At 47.0% G+C, this 17121-nt stretch overlaps 1 protein-coding gene across 7 annotated transcripts in view, besides 2 other annotated features; it reads left to right on the forward strand.

Moving 5' to 3' along the window:
* CAMK1D (calcium/calmodulin dependent protein kinase ID) overlaps positions 1–17121 on the forward strand; it is a 485999-nt gene that overhangs the window by 200551 nt on the left and 268327 nt on the right. For all 7 annotated transcript variants that reach the window (XM_006717483.5, NM_153498.4, XM_006717482.4 and 4 more), the window contains one exon: positions 3128–3259. In XM_006717483.5, the coding sequence (XP_006717546.1) occupies positions 3128–3259 (132 nt within the window). The remainder of the gene's footprint in view (positions 1–3127; positions 3260–17121) is intronic.
* Positions 2856–3356: an enhancer, noted in NCBI's record as "H3K4me1 hESC enhancer chr10:12594952-12595452 (GRCh37/hg19 assembly coordinates)". NCBI's record gives its function as "activates a minimal SCP1, AML or CMV promoter by ChIP-STARR-seq in naive H9 embryonic stem cells {active_cell/tissue: H9 hESC(naive)}" and the evidence as "EXISTENCE:reporter gene assay evidence [ECO:0000049][PMID:30033119]".
* Positions 3595–3792: a silencer, noted in NCBI's record as "fragment chr10:12595691-12595888 (GRCh37/hg19 assembly coordinates)". NCBI's record gives its function as "represses an EF-1alpha promoter that drives an FKBP-Casp9 reporter gene in an ReSE screen in HepG2 liver carcinoma cells {active_cell/tissue: HepG2}" and the evidence as "EXISTENCE:reporter gene assay evidence [ECO:0000049][PMID:32094911]".

A 17121-nucleotide genomic window follows, 5' to 3' on the forward strand; every position in this document is an offset into this window, starting at 1 on the left:
TGATCGCAGTTCCCAGCCCGAGCCCTTGGCTGTGGTCACTGCTGCCAAAGGGCTTTTCCGCCTTCTGGAAGATGGACTTAGTAAATCCAACAAACTCAGGACCATTGGGGTGTCATCAGCATTAGGGACTCAAGTGGCCAACAGGGAAACTGAATGAACGAATGAATGAATGAAAGAATGAATGATTTATCTGGTATAAAACCACCCATGGTGCTTGAACCTTGGTCTTTCCCCAGTGATTTTTCTCCTACTCTAACATAGTTCTTGTTCTACCTCCCGGAGGGTAGTGAGGGGGAACACGTACCTCCTCATTCAGGGTCTTGACCCACCTAAGAACTCTGAGGTGCAGCCACCTGTCTCCCCCTGGCTTAGAGATGAGTGAGGAGGGATGGTGCGTGGGCTCAGGGGCCGTCTCTGGAATTGTTATGATTTGGGTTTCCTGGACAAAAGCCGTTGGCCATGGCCGGTGTCACTGGGAATGTCTGACTCCATGTATCCCTCTGTGATAAACCTGTGGTGGGTCTTTATGTGTTTATATTTAGTGATGATTGTTCTGGCAGGTTCTAGAAGGTTTGGCTTCTGGCTTGTAGTGTTTTGAGGGGAGAATCCTATGGGTGAATAATTTGTGGATTTGGGCAGAAGATCCTGCTTCTGATGTTTTTCATCTGGGATATTTTGTGGAATGACTATGTTCTGCCCCCTGGGCTTGTATAATTAAAAATAGACCATGAAGCTATAGACAAGCTTCTCTCGTGAGCATCCATGTGCCAGTGGGAACGCTGTCCTGAAGTTAATTGCACTGAGTGGAAGTGAATTCCTCTCACTGGAAAGGATTTTTAAAACATGCATTTAGCGTCCCTTGGATTGTGACAGAGTGTGCATTGCTGTCAGGTGGGCAAGGAGAGGAGGAGGAAGGGTGTTCCCCCTGTTCAGGAATCTCTTTGACAGTGACTAAAGTAGGGGTCCCCAACCCCTGGGCCATGGGCCAATACCGGTAGGGTATGTGGCCTGTTAGGAACTTTGCCACACAGCAAGAGGTGAACAGCGGGCAAGCAAGCAAAGCTTCATCTGTACTTACAGCCACTCCCCATTGTTCACGTTACCGCCTGAGCTCTGCCTCCTGTCAGATCAAGGACTGCATTAGATTCTCATAGGAGCGTGAGCCCTATTGTGAACTGTGCACGCGAGGGATCTAGGTTGCACACTCTTTATGAGAATCTAATGCCTGATGATCTGTCACTGTGTCCCATCACCCCCAGATGGGACCGACTAGTTGCAGGAAAACAAGCTCAGGGCTTCCACTGATTTCTACGTTATGGCAAGTTGTAGAATTATTTCATTATACATTACTGTGTAATAATAATAGAAATAAAGTGGCTGGGCGTGGTGGTTCACACCTATAATCCCAGCACTTTGGGAGGTCGAGGCGAGTGAATCACTTGAGGTCAGGACTTCGAGACCAGCCTGGGAAACATGGTGAAAATACAAAAATTAGCCAGATGTGTTGGTGGACACCTGTAATCCCAGCTCCTCAGGAAGCTGAGTCAGGAGAATCGCTTGAACCTGAGAGGCAGAGGTTGCAGTGAGCCGAGATCACACCAGTGCACTCCAGCCTGGGCAACAGAGCCAGACTCCGTCTCAAAAAAATGAAATAAAGTGCACAAGAAATGTAATGCACTTGAGTCATCCCAAAACCACCCTCCTCTCCCGGGTCCATGGAAAAACTGTTGTCCATGAAGCTGGTCCCTGATGCCAAAAAGGTTGGGGACCATTGGACTGAAGAAGGTAGGGCCTGAAGACCTGGTATTGCCATAACACTGGGGCTTCCAGTGGTTTCTCTGGACACGGGAACGTTGGTTTCTTGAAGCAGGAGTTGAAAGTCTTGGCACAGAGAACGACTCAGTGGGCTGTGGTACTTCCCTGTGCACAGAGCCCAAGTTGCTGGGATCTGGAGGATCCGGAGATGATGGAGGAGGCTGTTCCATGCCAGGGTTATTAGTGGAGTTCTGCACGCAGGCCTTGCCTACCGTCAGCAAAGGAGGTGGCCCTGGGGTGCTGGCTCTGGGGCTCCCAGATCATAAGGGGCCCCTCCAGAGAAGTGGGCTCTCCAGCCCCAGATGTTCTGGTTTTAGTTTGTTGCTCTGCCGTTGCAGAGTGAAATGTGTATTTTCAGGCAGGACAGTCTTCCCCACTCCATAGCCCTTGCTTGTTAGTTTCTTTGGTTTAAAAAGGATACAAGCTGCTCGGTGAGCACTTGCACCCCATGACCAATTAATTACCCTGTGTCTGTACCACCTGCAATACCGCTCACACCCAGTCCTATCCTTACCCAGCTGGGAAGAGTCCAGTGTTTGCAGAGCGCTCTGAAATTTCCTCTAGATGAAAAAGCCTGTGAGGACCTGGGGATTTTAGTGTGACTTTCTAGTCTGTTTGGAGGTGGGAGAGCTGACACCGGCAGAAGGATCCAGTCCTTTTCTGTAGGAGGAACCTCTTGTGGGAGCGTTCTTGTTGGCTCCAAAGTGACGCCACTGTGTTGTGTGGCAAGTGGTACCGGGAGGTGGCCTAACTGTGTTGACCTCCACATCCGCATGTCCCTTTGCAGGAAGGCCTGCTTGCCCCTGTGTATTTCCTTTTTGAAAAACTTTTATTATCATTATTTTTTGAGACAGAGTCTTGCTCTGTCGCCCAGGCTGGAGTGCAGCGACACGATCTCGGCTCACTGCAACCTCTGCCTTCCAAGCTCAAGCGATTCTCCTGCCTCAGCCTCCCAAGTAGCTGGAATTACAGGTGCGTGCCACCACCTCTGGCTAATTTTTTGTATTTTTAGTAGAGACGGGGTTTCATCATGTTGGCCAGGCTGGTCTTAAACTCCTGACCTCAGGTGGTCTGCCCGCCTTGGCCTCCCAAAGTGTCGGGATTACAGGCATGAGCCACTGCGCCGGGCTGCCCCTGTGTATTTCTTTGCACAAAGATGTTTAGCAAGGAGCCACGGTGGATAAAAGTAACAGTAATGCTTACAACTGTGCCGTCGTTATTGTTTACTCAAACTTCGGTGGTAGGGTGAATGGAGCCATTGTGAAACTGGACTTCTGCATCTAAGTGTTCTTTTTTCCTTCTTTGTTCACAGCGGGGCCTTTTCCGAAGTGGTTTTAGCTGAAGAGAAGGCAACTGGCAAGCTCTTTGCTGTGAAGTGTATCCCTAAGAAGGCGCTGAAGGGCAAGGAAAGCAGCATAGAGAATGAGATAGCCGTCCTGAGAAAGTAAGTGCTGGAGGGCAACCCTCCTCCCTTCCCTACCTCCTGGCCCGTGTGTCCTGCAGGAGTCCTGCCCCGGAGGCAGACTTTCCCCGGGGGCAGAGGGGCCCCCAGAGGACCCAGGCTGTGCAAACGATAACCAACTTTCAAAGCACTTTTCCCATAGACCTCTCGTGTCTTAGAACATTCACGGCCATGGTTGGGAGTAGTTCTCAATTACAAAGAGCACAGCTGTCAGGCAGACTTGCTTGTGAACCGAGACCCTGCCACTCACCATATCCGAGTGACCGTGGGCCGGCTACAGAGCCCTGAGTCTTCTCTGTAAAATGGAGTTACCGGCGTCTCCCTGGCAGGGTGTTGTAAAGATTTGGTGAGATGCTGCTTACTAAGTTTTTGTGAAGTGCTCACTGCAGCACTCGCCACATAGGAAGTGCTCAGTAAAGGTCTGTGCTGTCGCCACCGCTGTGAGTACTGTTGCTGTTATTACTGCTTTATTTATAATAAGGTGATGAAGCTCACAAAATAGAGTCACGTGTCCAAAGCCTTGCAGCTCCTATGTGGCAGAGCCTGGAATACCAACCCGGCCAGTGTTACTTCCACACGTTCCGATGGTTTCTCCCATTCTCTGCCACAGACATGGCGCCTGGCACCCAGCAGGCTGCGTGGAGTTCACTGTTTCAGTGCTTACCTCCTCATTGAGTTTTATTTTTGCTCACTGTGTGTAATAGAAATAAAATAGATTTTTCTTTCTTTTTTTTATTTCCTTTCTTTCCCTCCCCACTCCCCTCCCCTTTGCTCCCCTCCCCTCTCCTCTCCTTTCCTTTCCTGACAGAATCTCGCTCTGTTGCCCAGGCTGGAGTACAATGGCGCAATCTCAGCTCACTGCAACTTCCACCTCCTGGCTTCAAGCGATTCTCCCGCCTCAGCCTCCCGAAGCTGGGATTACAGGCATCTGCCATCATGCCCAGCTAATTTTTGTATTTTTGTAGAGATGAGGTTTCTCCATGTTGGCCAGGCTGGTCTTGAACTCCTGACCTCAGGTGATCCGCCCGCCTTGGCCTCCCAAAGTGCTGAGTTTACAGGCATGAGCCACTGCGCCTGGCCAAGATTTTCATTTATTTCTATTACACATGGGGAGCAAAAATATAAGAAAGTCCTCTCTTGTATAATGGCACACATAGAACCATTCATTTTTTCTTTTTTTCTCCAGGCAGGATCTTGCTCTGTTGCCCAGTCTGGAGTGCAGTGGCAGTCTTGTCTCACCGCAGCCTCAACTCTTGAGCTCAAGTGATCTTCCCACCTCTGGCTCCTGAGTAGCTAGGACTGTAGGCACACGCTATTATGCCTGGCTAATTAAAAAAAAATTTTTTTTTTAAGAGATGGAGGGCTCACTGTGTTGCCCAGGCTGGTCTTGAACTCCTGGCCTCAAGCAGTCCTCCTACCGCAGCCTCCCAGATTGCTGGGATTATAGGCATGAGCCATGGCGCCTGGCTCCCAGAACCATTCTGATGTGTCTGGATCCATCCCAGCGATGTTCTTTCATAAGTGTGGTGTCCACACCGTTCCCCACACTGTCATGATTAAGCCATTGCCCCGTCATCTCCAAAGGTTTGGGGGAACAAGCCCTTGTATGGTACCTGATTTTGCATGTTTGGAGTGTGTCTGAGCAGTGTGCTATGGAAATTTTTAAGAGTTGCTATTAATAAAAGATGTTGGAAATATCCTTGAAATTTTTGGGGTTTGGAATCAGCACATAGCAAGAATCTCTGTACAGATAAGCAAAGCAGAATGAGAACAAGCCTTCTAGGGCCTCAACACAAAATGTCACGCTCCTCACATTCTTTCTGAATAAACCGTCTCGCCCACTCCTCTCTTACTGGGACCAGCAGTGTCCACCCAACGATGTTCAGCCATCATTTGCACAAACCCAGCACTGCTGAGAGGGCCAGGACAGTCTGTCCTCTTCTGACCTTTGTGTAACTCACAGAAGAAGCTACAGCATGCGGGATAAGTGTTTGAGAACAAACAGGTCTCTTTAACTTTGTAGCTTAAGGGTTTTGCTTATTTGTTTGGTAGTTTGGTCGTTTCTAGGTTCTCTGGATTGTCTATTAGGAACCCAGTGAGTTTCAGGTTGTCCTGAGGAGGATTGCAGGAAATGATTGTATGGAAGAGAATCTGGGAAAACAAATTAAGTATATTAGCATCTAGCAGGAAAACACGATGTTAATGAGACATTTATTTAAATTGCTCATTTTCCAATGTGAAATCAGTACTTGGAGAAGAAGTTATTTGCTGGTGACATTAAGTTGCAGACACATTACAGATATTTGACATTGTAGATTGAATTCTGGGTGGGCCCAGAGCCTTCCAAAGGTTTTACGTTGGGCACAGGGGCTGTCTGTTGATGGATCGAGGGTGATGACTGTATTTTGGTGTGATTCCCTTAGGGCTGAGAAGTACAAAAGGGGAGGAAGTCAGTTTCATTTTTTAGCATTATTTTTCATTTGCATGAGCAGAGGCCATGGATGCAGGCTTTATAAACCAGTCCTGTTGATGCCGTGGATGGTCTGCTTTAATTGTCTTCACCCTGCGCCTCACTCAAATAATCACTTCCAGGGAGAGGGCATTTAAAAACCAAGGAGGGCCAGAGGGCTGGAATAACTTGTTTTGATAGTTGTTCAGTATCCGCTGCTGGAGTACCTGGAAGCGTGACCCCTCTTTCAGGAGTCAAGAACAAAGAAGTGATTTCTCCAGGGATGCGAAGGTGATCTATAGTAACTCCCGCACTGACTTTTTTTTTTGGTCCTCTGCAAATGATTTACATATGGAGTAAGAGGCAGTTCCACATCATGAGCAGCTGAAAGCAAAGTCAATGAGCTAGAAAGAAAATAGTTTGAAACCACTCAGAATGTTGTCATGGAGACATTCATTCATTTAACAAATATTTATTAAATTCTCACTGTGCAGCAGGCCGCACTGCTGGGCACTGAGTTTAGATAAGGTGCTCTCCTTGCCCTCTGGGAGCTCACAGTTTTGTCACTAAGTACGTGCAGTGGCATTGCAGATGCTGTGTAGTAGCATGGCCAGGGCCTCAAGGGTAGGGGGTGCTGTCTTCTTCCTTTGGGGTGGGATGGGAGGAGAGGATTCATGGAGGAGGAGGGCCTGGACAATGAGCATAGTTTGCAGGGTCAGAAACGCAGAGGGACATTCCATCCAGAAGTGGCAGCCCAAACAGAGGTCAGGAGATAGGAGACAGAAAGGCTGGTGTGCTGGGGAACTCTCCAGGGCAAAGGGTTCAGGGGGAGGCCTGGAGACACCTAAGGTTGGAGAGGTGGGATTGTGGAGGGCCTTGTGTACCCACTTTGAACTTCATCCTCTAGACACGGGGGAGCCATCGGAGGGTTTTGATGAAAGGAGCAACATGATCAAGATTAATTTTTGAAGATTGTTGCGGCAGAACTGAGAAGAATGGACTGGGGGGCCAGGACTCTATGTATGTAGGGAGAATAGTGAGGAGGCTGTTGGAAGAATCTGGTGGAGAAATGAAGAAGCAGCACATTAACACAGAAGCTCTGGAGTTGGGATGGAAGAAACAGTTATGAGTGTGTGAACACAGTGGAATCTGTAGGACTTAGAGATTCGGAAGGAATGGGGAGAGCAGGGAGGGAGACGGAGGATTCCAGGAGGGCTGCCGAGTTTCTGACATGGATGCCTGGGTGGATGATGACCCCATTCACTGAGAACAGAAATACCAGAGCGGGAGGGCAGGTCAAGAGTCTGGACATGCTGAACTTGGGGGTTGGGAGGATGCCCTGGTAGAGAGGTCCAGTTGACTGTCCAGTTCTGGAACTCAGATTGTGATCTGGACTTGCTGATTGGTAAAGTTTTTCAGACACAGCATGTAAGAAAAAAGTCCTGGCCGGGTGCCACGGCTCACGCCTGTAATCCCAGCACTTTGGGAGGCTGAGGCAGGTGGATCACGAGGTCAGGAGATCGAGACAATCCTGGCTAATACGGTGAAACCCCGTCTCTACTAAAAATACACAAAAAAATTGGCCGGGTATGGTGGTGGGCGCCTGTAGTCCCAGCTACTCGGGAGACTGAGGCAGGAGAATGGTGTGAACCCGGGAGGCAGAGCTTGAAGTGAGCCCAGATCGCGCCACTGCACTCCAGCCTGGGCGACAGAGCGAGACTCCATCTCAAAAAAAAAAAAAAAAAAAGAAAAAAGAAAAAAGTCTTTTGATGATTTTCATGACTAAGTCATTGTAGACAGGATCCCAAATAGACTGCCTTAAATTCCAACGTCTTTGTTGATTTCCACACTATTTTTGCTTATTTCCTGACTGTTTGTTGATTTCCACGCTATTTGTGTTTGTTTCCTGGCCATTGGTTTATTTCCACGCTATTTTCCATGGAAGTAGGCCCATTTGAATCCCAGCTGCTGGACCACCAGGGGACTGCTAAGCCGGCCCATTGGAAAGACTGCCTGCCCCCCTTTATGCTGAGTTTATTGTAGGCTGAGAAATTTATTTATTTCACTGGACTGAAGTGATGTAGCTAACATGTCCTTAAGGATGTCTTTGTACTTGCTCTGGAAATTGTTTCAAAATGAATTTTCTACTTGATCAGTAGATATTAAATGAAGCTCAGAGGGAAACATTCTGATAAACATGGAGGTAGGCTGTTGCTCTGCAGCTGTGAGGACCGGCAGCCTTGCTCTGGCATCAGCGGCTGGATCTAGAAAATTCAGCATAAGCTACTCTAGATAGAACAGTTAGTTGTGATCCCACAACAGAGTATTTTATGCGGTATGGAATAAACATCATCGGTGTTATTCTCTTTGGGTTGGATTACAGAGTTTATGATTTCTGTGGCATTATTTATTTCGAGGGCAGGCACTGCTGACATCTAATTTCAAAACTTGACCGGCACGGTGGCTCACACCTGTAAGCCAGCACTTTGGGAGGCTGCTGTGGGTGGGTTGCTTGAGGTCAAGAGCTTGAGACCATCCTGGCCAAGGTGGTGAAACCCCATCTCTATTCAAACTACAAAAATTAGCTGAGCGTTGTGGCGCATACCTATAATCACAGCTACTTGGGAGGCTGAGGCAGGAGAATTGTTTGAACCCAGGAGGTGGAGGTTACAGTGAACCGAGATCGTGCCGTTGCACTCCAACCTGGGTAACAAGAGCAAAACTCCATCTCAAAAAAAAAAAATACAATAATTTCAAGGTAGCACTTAAAGTACTTTTGCAGGAGTAGAAAGGCAAATATATCAACAGTCTACATTTAAATGAGAGGTGAAGAGAGAGGGGGATGCATAGATTGGAAAGTGGGGGCTGAGAGAAGCAAACCAGCTGTGTCTGGAGCAGCCCATTTACTAATAGTTGGAAAAACTGAGGCTCAGTTTGGTGGAAGGGGTACTGTCTGAATGAAACATGGCACCAGAATTCAACATGCTGTTCTGATGCCTGCTTTGTAAGCTGCAGAGATTGTCTTGCCTTGGGGAAGTGACCCTGGCAGGAACTGATTTGAATTGGCATGTTTTCGTCTATCTGGGTACACTGAGGAGTCTCAGATGATGGTCTCTGCCTCTTTCTCTCCAAATCAGTGTTTCTCAGCCCTGGCTGCACCTTAAAATCACCTAGGAAGCTCTTAAAATCATACTGATTAGCCGGGCACGGTGAGTGGCTTATGCTTGTAATTGCAGCACTTTGGGAGGCTGAGGCAGGAGGATTGTCTGAGGCTGGGAGTTCAAGACCAGCCTGGGCATCATAGTGAGACTCTGTCTCTATAAAACAATTAAAAAACTAGTCAGGTGTGGTGGTTGCCAGTAGTCCCATCTACTCTGGAGGCTGAGGTGGGAGGATTGCTTGAGCCGAGGAGTTTGAGGCTGTACTCCAGTTTGGGTGACAGACTGAGACACCATCTCTAAAAAAATAAATAAAAGGAAAAAACAAAAATATTATGCTGATGCGCAGGCCCCATTCACGACCAATCGAGTCAGAATTGGAGGTAATGGCAGGTGCTGGAAAATTGAAAAAGCATCTCCCCCACCCGCCACCCACTGATCCTAACTCATAATCAGTGTGATGTCAGAACAACCACTCTCCAGCCCTTGTCCGCTGATTTCACCTCCCAGGGTGGAGCTGCTCCGTATGATGACTAGGAGTGTGGGCAGATGTGTACAGATGTGTCCGCAGGCAGAAACACAAGCCAGGCAATGTTTCCTTCAGGAGAGGCTTCATTGAGAGGAGCGAACTCAGATGTGCTCCCTTGGAAGAGCTGAGTTTTGTTTTGAGAGTGGTGAATTGACTTGAGTCCATCATCCCATCATTGAGGAGCAGGCACCAGCCACTGACTGGGCTCAGGAGTGAGAACCTCGCTTCTCAAGGGTGGCTGAAGAAGTACGGGCAGTAGTGGCAGTGCCAGGCCTGGGGAGGCTGGGGTAGGGTGTGGTCGAGTCAGCACGCTGCAGTGCCAAGTACTTCACAAGAGGGTGAGGACTGCTAAAGGCAGCAGGTGCCAAAGCCCAGGATGCTGGGCTGGAGTCCCTGAAATCCCTGGGGCCGAAGTCAGGATGGATGGCAGGATGTGTGGTGGGAGAGTGAGTTAGCACCTCTGTCATGGGAAGGGCGGAGCCTTATCCTCCAGTTACCTTAAGGCAGACACCTTCCTCTCAATGCGGACCAGAGGGAGGGCAGCTTCTGCAGCCAAAGAAAGCAACTGCTTTGGGATTAGGGAACAGCCCCCAGAGAAAGGCTTTGACGTCGATGAACTCTGGAAATCTAGCCTGCCCCTGCTCCTGCGGCTTTGTTCTGAAGGGAGGCTGGCCCTGTTCACTTGTTTAAACCACTGCCAAGTGCCAGTCTTTGTGCCTGTTAGAGAAACTGACACTTCAATAGAAATTCATCGATTGGGGTCCGGGCGCGGTGGCTCACGCCTGTAATCACAGCACTTTGGGAAGGCGAGGCGGGCGGATCACCTGAGGTCAGGAGTTAGAGACCAGCCTGGCCAACGTGGTGAAACCCCGTCTCTACCAAAAATACAAAAATTAGTCGGGCATGGTGGTGGGCGCCTGTAATCTCAGCTACTCGGGAGCCTGAGACAGGAGAATTGCTTGAACCCAGGAGGTGGAAGTTGCAGGGAGCCAGGATCGCACCACTGCACTTCAGCCTGGGCAACGAGAGGAAAACTCTATCTCGGAAAAAAAAAAAAAAAAAGAAGAAGAAGAAAGAAAAAAAGAAATTCATTGATTGGGGCTGAAGATAACCACTTTGCCAATGACTGAAAATGGCTAAGCTGGTAAAGCTAGTCCTTGAATTTCTCAGGCACCAATACAGCTTTTTAAGGATCAATCTGAGCTGCTTAGAAGGGTCTAAAAGAGAGAGAGCTCCTCTCTGGAAAGCTCGCACTGGAATGGAGAACACAAGCAGGAAATGTGAAAAGTAACGGTTGAAAGCCTTACTTATGATGACACATAGGGAGGCAGGTGCATATCTTACAATTCTAGACACTTGGATACCTTGGGAAACCATATTGAAAGTTACCTTGATTTCTTTCTTTCTTTCTTTTTTTTTTTGAGATGGAGTCTCGCTCTGTCACCCAGGCTGGAGTGCAGCAGTGCGATCTCGGCTCACTGCAAGCTCCGCCTCCCAGCTTCACGCCATTCTCCTGCCTCAGCCTCCCGAGTAGCTGGGACTACAGGCGCCTGCCACCATGCCTGGCTAATTGTTTTGTATTTTTTTTAATAGAGACAGGGTTTCACCGTGTTAGCCAGATTGGTCTCGATCTCCTGACCTTGTGATCTGCCTGCCTTGGCCTCCCAAAGTGCTGGGATTACAGGCGTGATTTCAAATAAAACCATGCAATCCCCATAAAACAGGCTTTGAGGGATGCAGTAAGTTATTTAGTGATGGTGGTGGCGGTGGTGTGCGTGGTTAAAGCCGAAAACTTGCCAAGCTTTGGGCACGTACATGTGAGCCTGTCTGCTGAATGAGCTTAGGCTTTCTGGAATCTTAACACAATACACCCTGGACCTGTGAAAACCGGGCTCTGCGAAGCCTTTAATCACCGAGAAGAGTTGACATTGACAGGTCTTCCATAATGATGGCCCTTCCTTAGCAGTTCAGAGTCCCGCCTTATTTAGTGTCCTTCCTCCTTTTTGCTGCATACCTACACTTTCGTATTCTGGGAGCTGTGCTGAACTTTCCCCTAAGTCCGGAGACTTCCCCTGCCTGGTTGGCAGTAAACTCAGCTTTGTTTCTGACCATTATTTGGTGATCGTTGTTTATTTCATCCTAACTGTGCATGTCTGTAAGAGGAAATAGAAGTGGTCTAATGCCAGTGCAACTTTCTAGACAAGAGAGAATATATTTGGTGCTTCTAGTGGCTTTCTCATGGTGTTTTGTCCCTTGCAAAAATCAAAAACATTTTAAATTTGGTTTGAGATCCAGAATCAATGCATTTCTGTTAATTTCTTGGACATTGCTTATAGCACTCCCTGAATTGAAGGAAAATACAGTTGGTTATATCCCATACTACAAAACAAGGAATTGAAACTATCTTGAGTAGGCATGTTGGTTTATCTCTCCAGGGTCCATGTATCTCTGGGGCCTCTTCCTGCCTAGGGTTTCTGCTTCCCAAATAGTGCACCTGGTGTGGTTCTTGTGGATGTTAGTGTCTTATTCCATTTTCTGTTGCTATAGCATAATACTTTGATCCTAGGTAATTTACAAAGGAAACAGGGTTCTTTAGCTCACATTCTGCAGGCTGGGAAGTCCAAGATCGGGTGGCTGCCTCTGGTGAGGATTTTGTGCTGCTTTATGGCATATGGCAGAAAAGCAGAAGGGCAAGTGAGTGTGTGCAAAGAAAGGGGAGGTGAAGAGACCACCCCCCCTTAAAACAACCTGCTCTTGTTAGAGCTAACCTAGTCCCATGAGAACTGCATCCATCCCTACATGATGGCAGATCCCTCATGACTGAAACAATTCCTAGCACTGCTGCATTGAGGATTTACGTTTCCAACACATGAACTGTTGGAGGACACGCTCAAAGCATGGCAGTTTCCCTTTCTTTAGTTCCTTCTCCCACAGCACTGTGCAAATGAGTATTTAAATGCCTGTCTGATAGTCACCCTCACTACCTTAATTCCAAAAAGTCCCCTGCTTAATAGAATCCAAACTCATTTGCAAACGAGCCCCCGACTTTGTGATCTACCTCTTTGGTTTTCATCTTCCCACCCCTCACCCCATGTTTCAGTTTAGTTCTCCTGAAAGGAACAGATAATTGCATCTTTCCTGCTGCAGTTTGACACACACCTCCTTCAGGACACCTCTTGATTTCCTGTCTGGATGGGCCCTTCCCTCTGAGATTCCACGGCACCAAGGTTTGCTTCTATCATTCCTGACTGTGCCATGGGATCTCTGCTGCTCCAAACTGTGGACTTCCTGAATCTAGCCCTGAACTAAAGGCAACATGGTGGGAATGGAGGCAAGGATTAGGGGAACTCAGGTAAAATTAAGGATGTTAGAAACCCTGGGACTGGGTGCTGATTAGGCAAAGAAGGTTTAGTGGAAGGGAGGAATCTATGCTGACTTCCAGTTCTCTCTGGCTTTGGTGACTGTATTAGTTCTCCAAAGAAACAGAAGCAATAGGATATATGTAGATACACAAAAAGATTTATTATGAGGTATTGGCTCATGTAATTCTGGAGGCTGAGAAGCTCCACAATCCACCATCTGCAAACTGGAGACCCGGGAAAGCCAACTGGACTTGGCCCAAGGCCAAAGACCTGGGAACCAGGGGAGCCGACGTCCAAGGGCCGGAGATGGATGTCTTAGCTCCAGGAGAGAGAAAAACCAGGTGTAGCGGCACGCACCTATACCTGCAGCTACTTGGGAGGCTGAGGTGGGAAGATCACTTGAGTCCAGGAGTCGAGGCTGCAGTGAGCTGTGATGACACCACTGCACCCCAGTCTGGGCAACAGAGTGAGACTCTGTCTCTAAAAAAAAAGGGAAGAAGAACAAATTGATTCTTCCTCTGCCTTTTTCTTCTATTCTGGCTCTCAATGGATTTGAACATACCCGCTTACACGGGTGAGGATAATCTTTTTACTCAGTCTGCTGATTCAGATGCTAATCTCTTCCAGAAATTCCCTCACAGACACACCAGAAATACAGAAATACTGTTTTACCGGCTGTCTGGGCATCCTTTAGGCCAGTCAAGTTGACACATAAAATTATCCATTACATTGACCAAGTGGATGGCAGGTTCCTCAACCAATATGGGGCATTCCAGAAGAGGCGGAAGGTTTGAGAGAGAGAGAGAGAGAGAGAGAGAGAGAGAGAGGGAGAGAGAGGGAGAGAGAGAATGAGGATTCCTTTATGGCAACAGAGTATACTTAAATCTGGTCTGGCCTCTCCTGCCACCTTGTATACTATACATATTACTCTGTAGATATTTAGAGTAGTTGAAGAAACAATGTGTTTTATCACACTTTTAAAACCAGTGTTGCGTCTTTGCATGTTTATTTCCTTGTGCCATCTCTGTCATCTAATGTGGATATTTACATGGGAGTTCAGCTAATATGTGGACTAGTTGGTGGTTTAAATTCCTCTAATAATATATCTTGGCAGATCTTTCCCCTTTCTTCTGTAAACTTACTTAGCTAATGATTTATACAGATTCCAGTTAAATGATTTGAAGAGCAGTCTGTCTGTCTATCTATCTAGATATCTATCTAGATAGATAGATCTGTCTGTCTAGATGTCTCTCTCTCTCTCTCTCTCTCTCTCTGTCTCTCTCTCTCTCTCTCTCTCTCTCTCTCTCTCATAGGCTAATATTTTTAAAAAGTCAGAATAGCTTACATTGGAGAACCACACTAATGAAAGATTAAATGCAAGTAGGCCTGAGATGGACTAAGATGGCAGATATAGAAAAAGAAATAGACACCAAAGATTCAATTTTTTTTTTTCTGTTAAGCTTTATGTTGTGTCCGTTCTGTCTTCTATGTGGTTTTGGCATGATTCATATGGCAAATGAATTATTTTAGTGAAGCTTTATTTATGACTCACTGTGTATTTTAAGTTGTATGTAATTGGATTAACAAATTTCATTTCACATGTGTGAAGTCCAGGGCTATCGTTTGAGTAGTTTGAAGAGTTGTTTACTGTTTTTAAGCTATATAACTGTTTTTCTCAAAGCTTAAAGTTGAGGTCAGAGGCTCTGATGATTGGTCTGAAGCCAGGTTTGGGGGAATAAATTTTTTCTAAAGTAATAGTTGGATAGAATTTGGTAAATGGATTAATATCCATTTTTTAGCTATTTGCATTTTTCTGTTATGAATATTTAAAAAATAGTTTTGACTATATGATATGGATAAGTAGGAGGTATCACTTGGGATACAAACACATAAAAGGGTATCTTTTAAGAAATACAGTGCTGCAATAGATGTAGTGTTTTTGGTTCTTGTCAAAAGCTGTAGAACTGATGACCTAAGTATACACACATGTAAATGTACTATATGTAGGTGTGTAAATAAATATGCATATACACACATTGTAAATATGTCTTGGAGGCCAATCACAGTGTCTCATGCCTGTAGTCCCAGAACTTTGGGAGGCTGAGATAGAAGGACCACTTGAGGCAAGGAGTTTAAGACCAGCCTGGACAACATAACAAGACCCTGTCTCTATGGAAAATCAAAGAAAATTAGCCTGGTGTAGTGGCATGTGCCTGTAGTCCCAGCTACTTGGGAGGCTGAGGCAGGAGGATCCTTTGGGTCCAGGAGTTTGAGGCTTTAGGGAGCTATGACTGTGCCACTGCACTTCAGCCTGGGTGACAGAGCAAGACCCTGTCTCTGAAAACGAATAAATACCTACATACATCTCCGTATTTTTAATTTTTATTTTTTATTTTGAGATGGAGTCTCACCCTGTCACCCAGGCTGGAGTGCAGTGGCACGACTCGGCCCACTGCAACCTCCGCCTCCCAGGTTCAAGCAATTGATTCTCCTGCCTCAGCCTCCCAAGTAGCTGGGTTTACAGGTGCCTGCCACCATGCCTGGCTAGTTTTTGTATTTTTAGTAGAGACGGGGTTTCACCATGTTGGCCAGGCTGGTTTCGAACTCCTGACCTCAGATGATCTGCCCGCCTCGGCCTCCCAAAGTGCTGGAATTACAGGCGTGAGCTGCCGCGCCTGGCGACATCTCAGTTTTGTATATCTTTTTATTGAAGAACAAAATGTACTTTTGCTTCATTTAGTAAATGTACCTTCAAGGGTTTTAAAGTTAGCAACAAGTGACTTCTACAAGCATTGTTTCATTTAATCGTCACCATAAACCTGTAAAGTGGATATTATGATCTGCATTTCACAGATGAGGAATTTGGACTTATTTAAGACATTTTTAGGGGCCACATAACTGGTAATATGTGGAGAGGAAGTTACCCAGGTCTGTGTGTCTCTTTCCAATATGATTTGACCCGTCTGCTGTCCCTGTGTTCTCTTGTGAAGAAAGGGGCCGCTTCTCCTTGATATAGGCAATAGCCCACTCTAGGTAGGAGGTGTTCACTAATGGTGAAAGAATAAATCCGTAACTGTGGCTTCTCAGCTACTAGAAAGGCAGGATACAGTGTGGTGAAGTCCTGAGAATCAGCTCATCTGAGTTTGCATCAGACTCCTGCTTTAGAAGCTACTTGACCTTGGGCAAGTCATTTCAACTCTCAGCCCCCATTTTCAGGATAATGGGGATGATAATAGTATCTGCCTCCAATAGTCGTTGTAGGGATCAAACAGTCAGTGCATGCCTGGCACATAGTGTGGGCTCTCCAAATGTTTGCTGTGTACATTATTATTATGTGTAAGGGACATCTTGCTAGACAGCGGGAATAGGGGGAAGGTTCCTTCCCAGAAGTCACATCACGCAAGTGTCGTCTCCCTAAGGCTCCCTGTTGAAGCCTAAGGGAGCCCTTCTTGAAATAGGAGACAGAGGCAGCAGCGATGAGGTGGCCGGCCTTCTTCCAGGGGTGAGGCTGCTGCTGTCATAGACCCAACACTGCTGCAGAGTTGCCAAGGATACATCAGTTTCACCATTTTTCTTGCTGACTAAACTCCTGTGAAAACTCTTGCTTTCCTCGGTTATCTGACCGTCTGCTTCTCTTAATGTTAGAGTCACCAGAGCATTAGAACTAGAAAAGGAACTTAGACATCTTGGTCCAGTTCTCTAGACTTTCAGATGAGGAAAGGGGTGCAGAGAGGTAAAGTGATTGCCCGAGGTCATGGAGCTAAGCCGGGCAGACGCGGAGCCAGAAGGATGGTTTCTGACCTTCGAATTCAGAACTCTTTCCACATAACCATACTTGCAGAGCCTCTTTCAGGAGAATGCGGGAAAGTAACTCTTCCTCATCTTGCAGAGGTCCTTGGTATGTTGCACAGGACTGAAGAAGCTACCCCAGTAGGTTGGCCAGATTCCACAATGGGATATTGAATCTGGTTTCAGAAATTCCCCTGGTGATTTCAATTAGATGCGCTGTTCTTTCTGACTTCCCCTCCCTGGCAGCGATGCAGTGTTTTTTCCAGCTGCTTGGATTGCCGTCGTATGCTGCTCCAAGCTGCCTCCAGTGCTCTGCTGTTCACTAGAACAGAGCTCAGAGGCCCGTCGCCGAGCCTGCAGTACAGGTTAAACATTGGAGAGGCTTTGCTCTCATTTGAGGTGTATCTAATGATTGTGGCCCAGTGTGCCAGTTTCTTGTGAATACAATGAAGATACTACTTCTCGGAAGTGCAGTGGGAAGAAACCAGTTACAGATCGTGGAATGATCTAGAAAATACGGCAAATGCTACTCTGGTGTGAGGTCATAATCCAGAAAG

Source organism: Homo sapiens, chromosome 10 (genome assembly GCF_000001405.40).
Source record: "Homo sapiens chromosome 10, GRCh38.p14 Primary Assembly".
Taxonomy (NCBI): domain Eukaryota; kingdom Metazoa; phylum Chordata; class Mammalia; order Primates; family Hominidae; genus Homo; species Homo sapiens.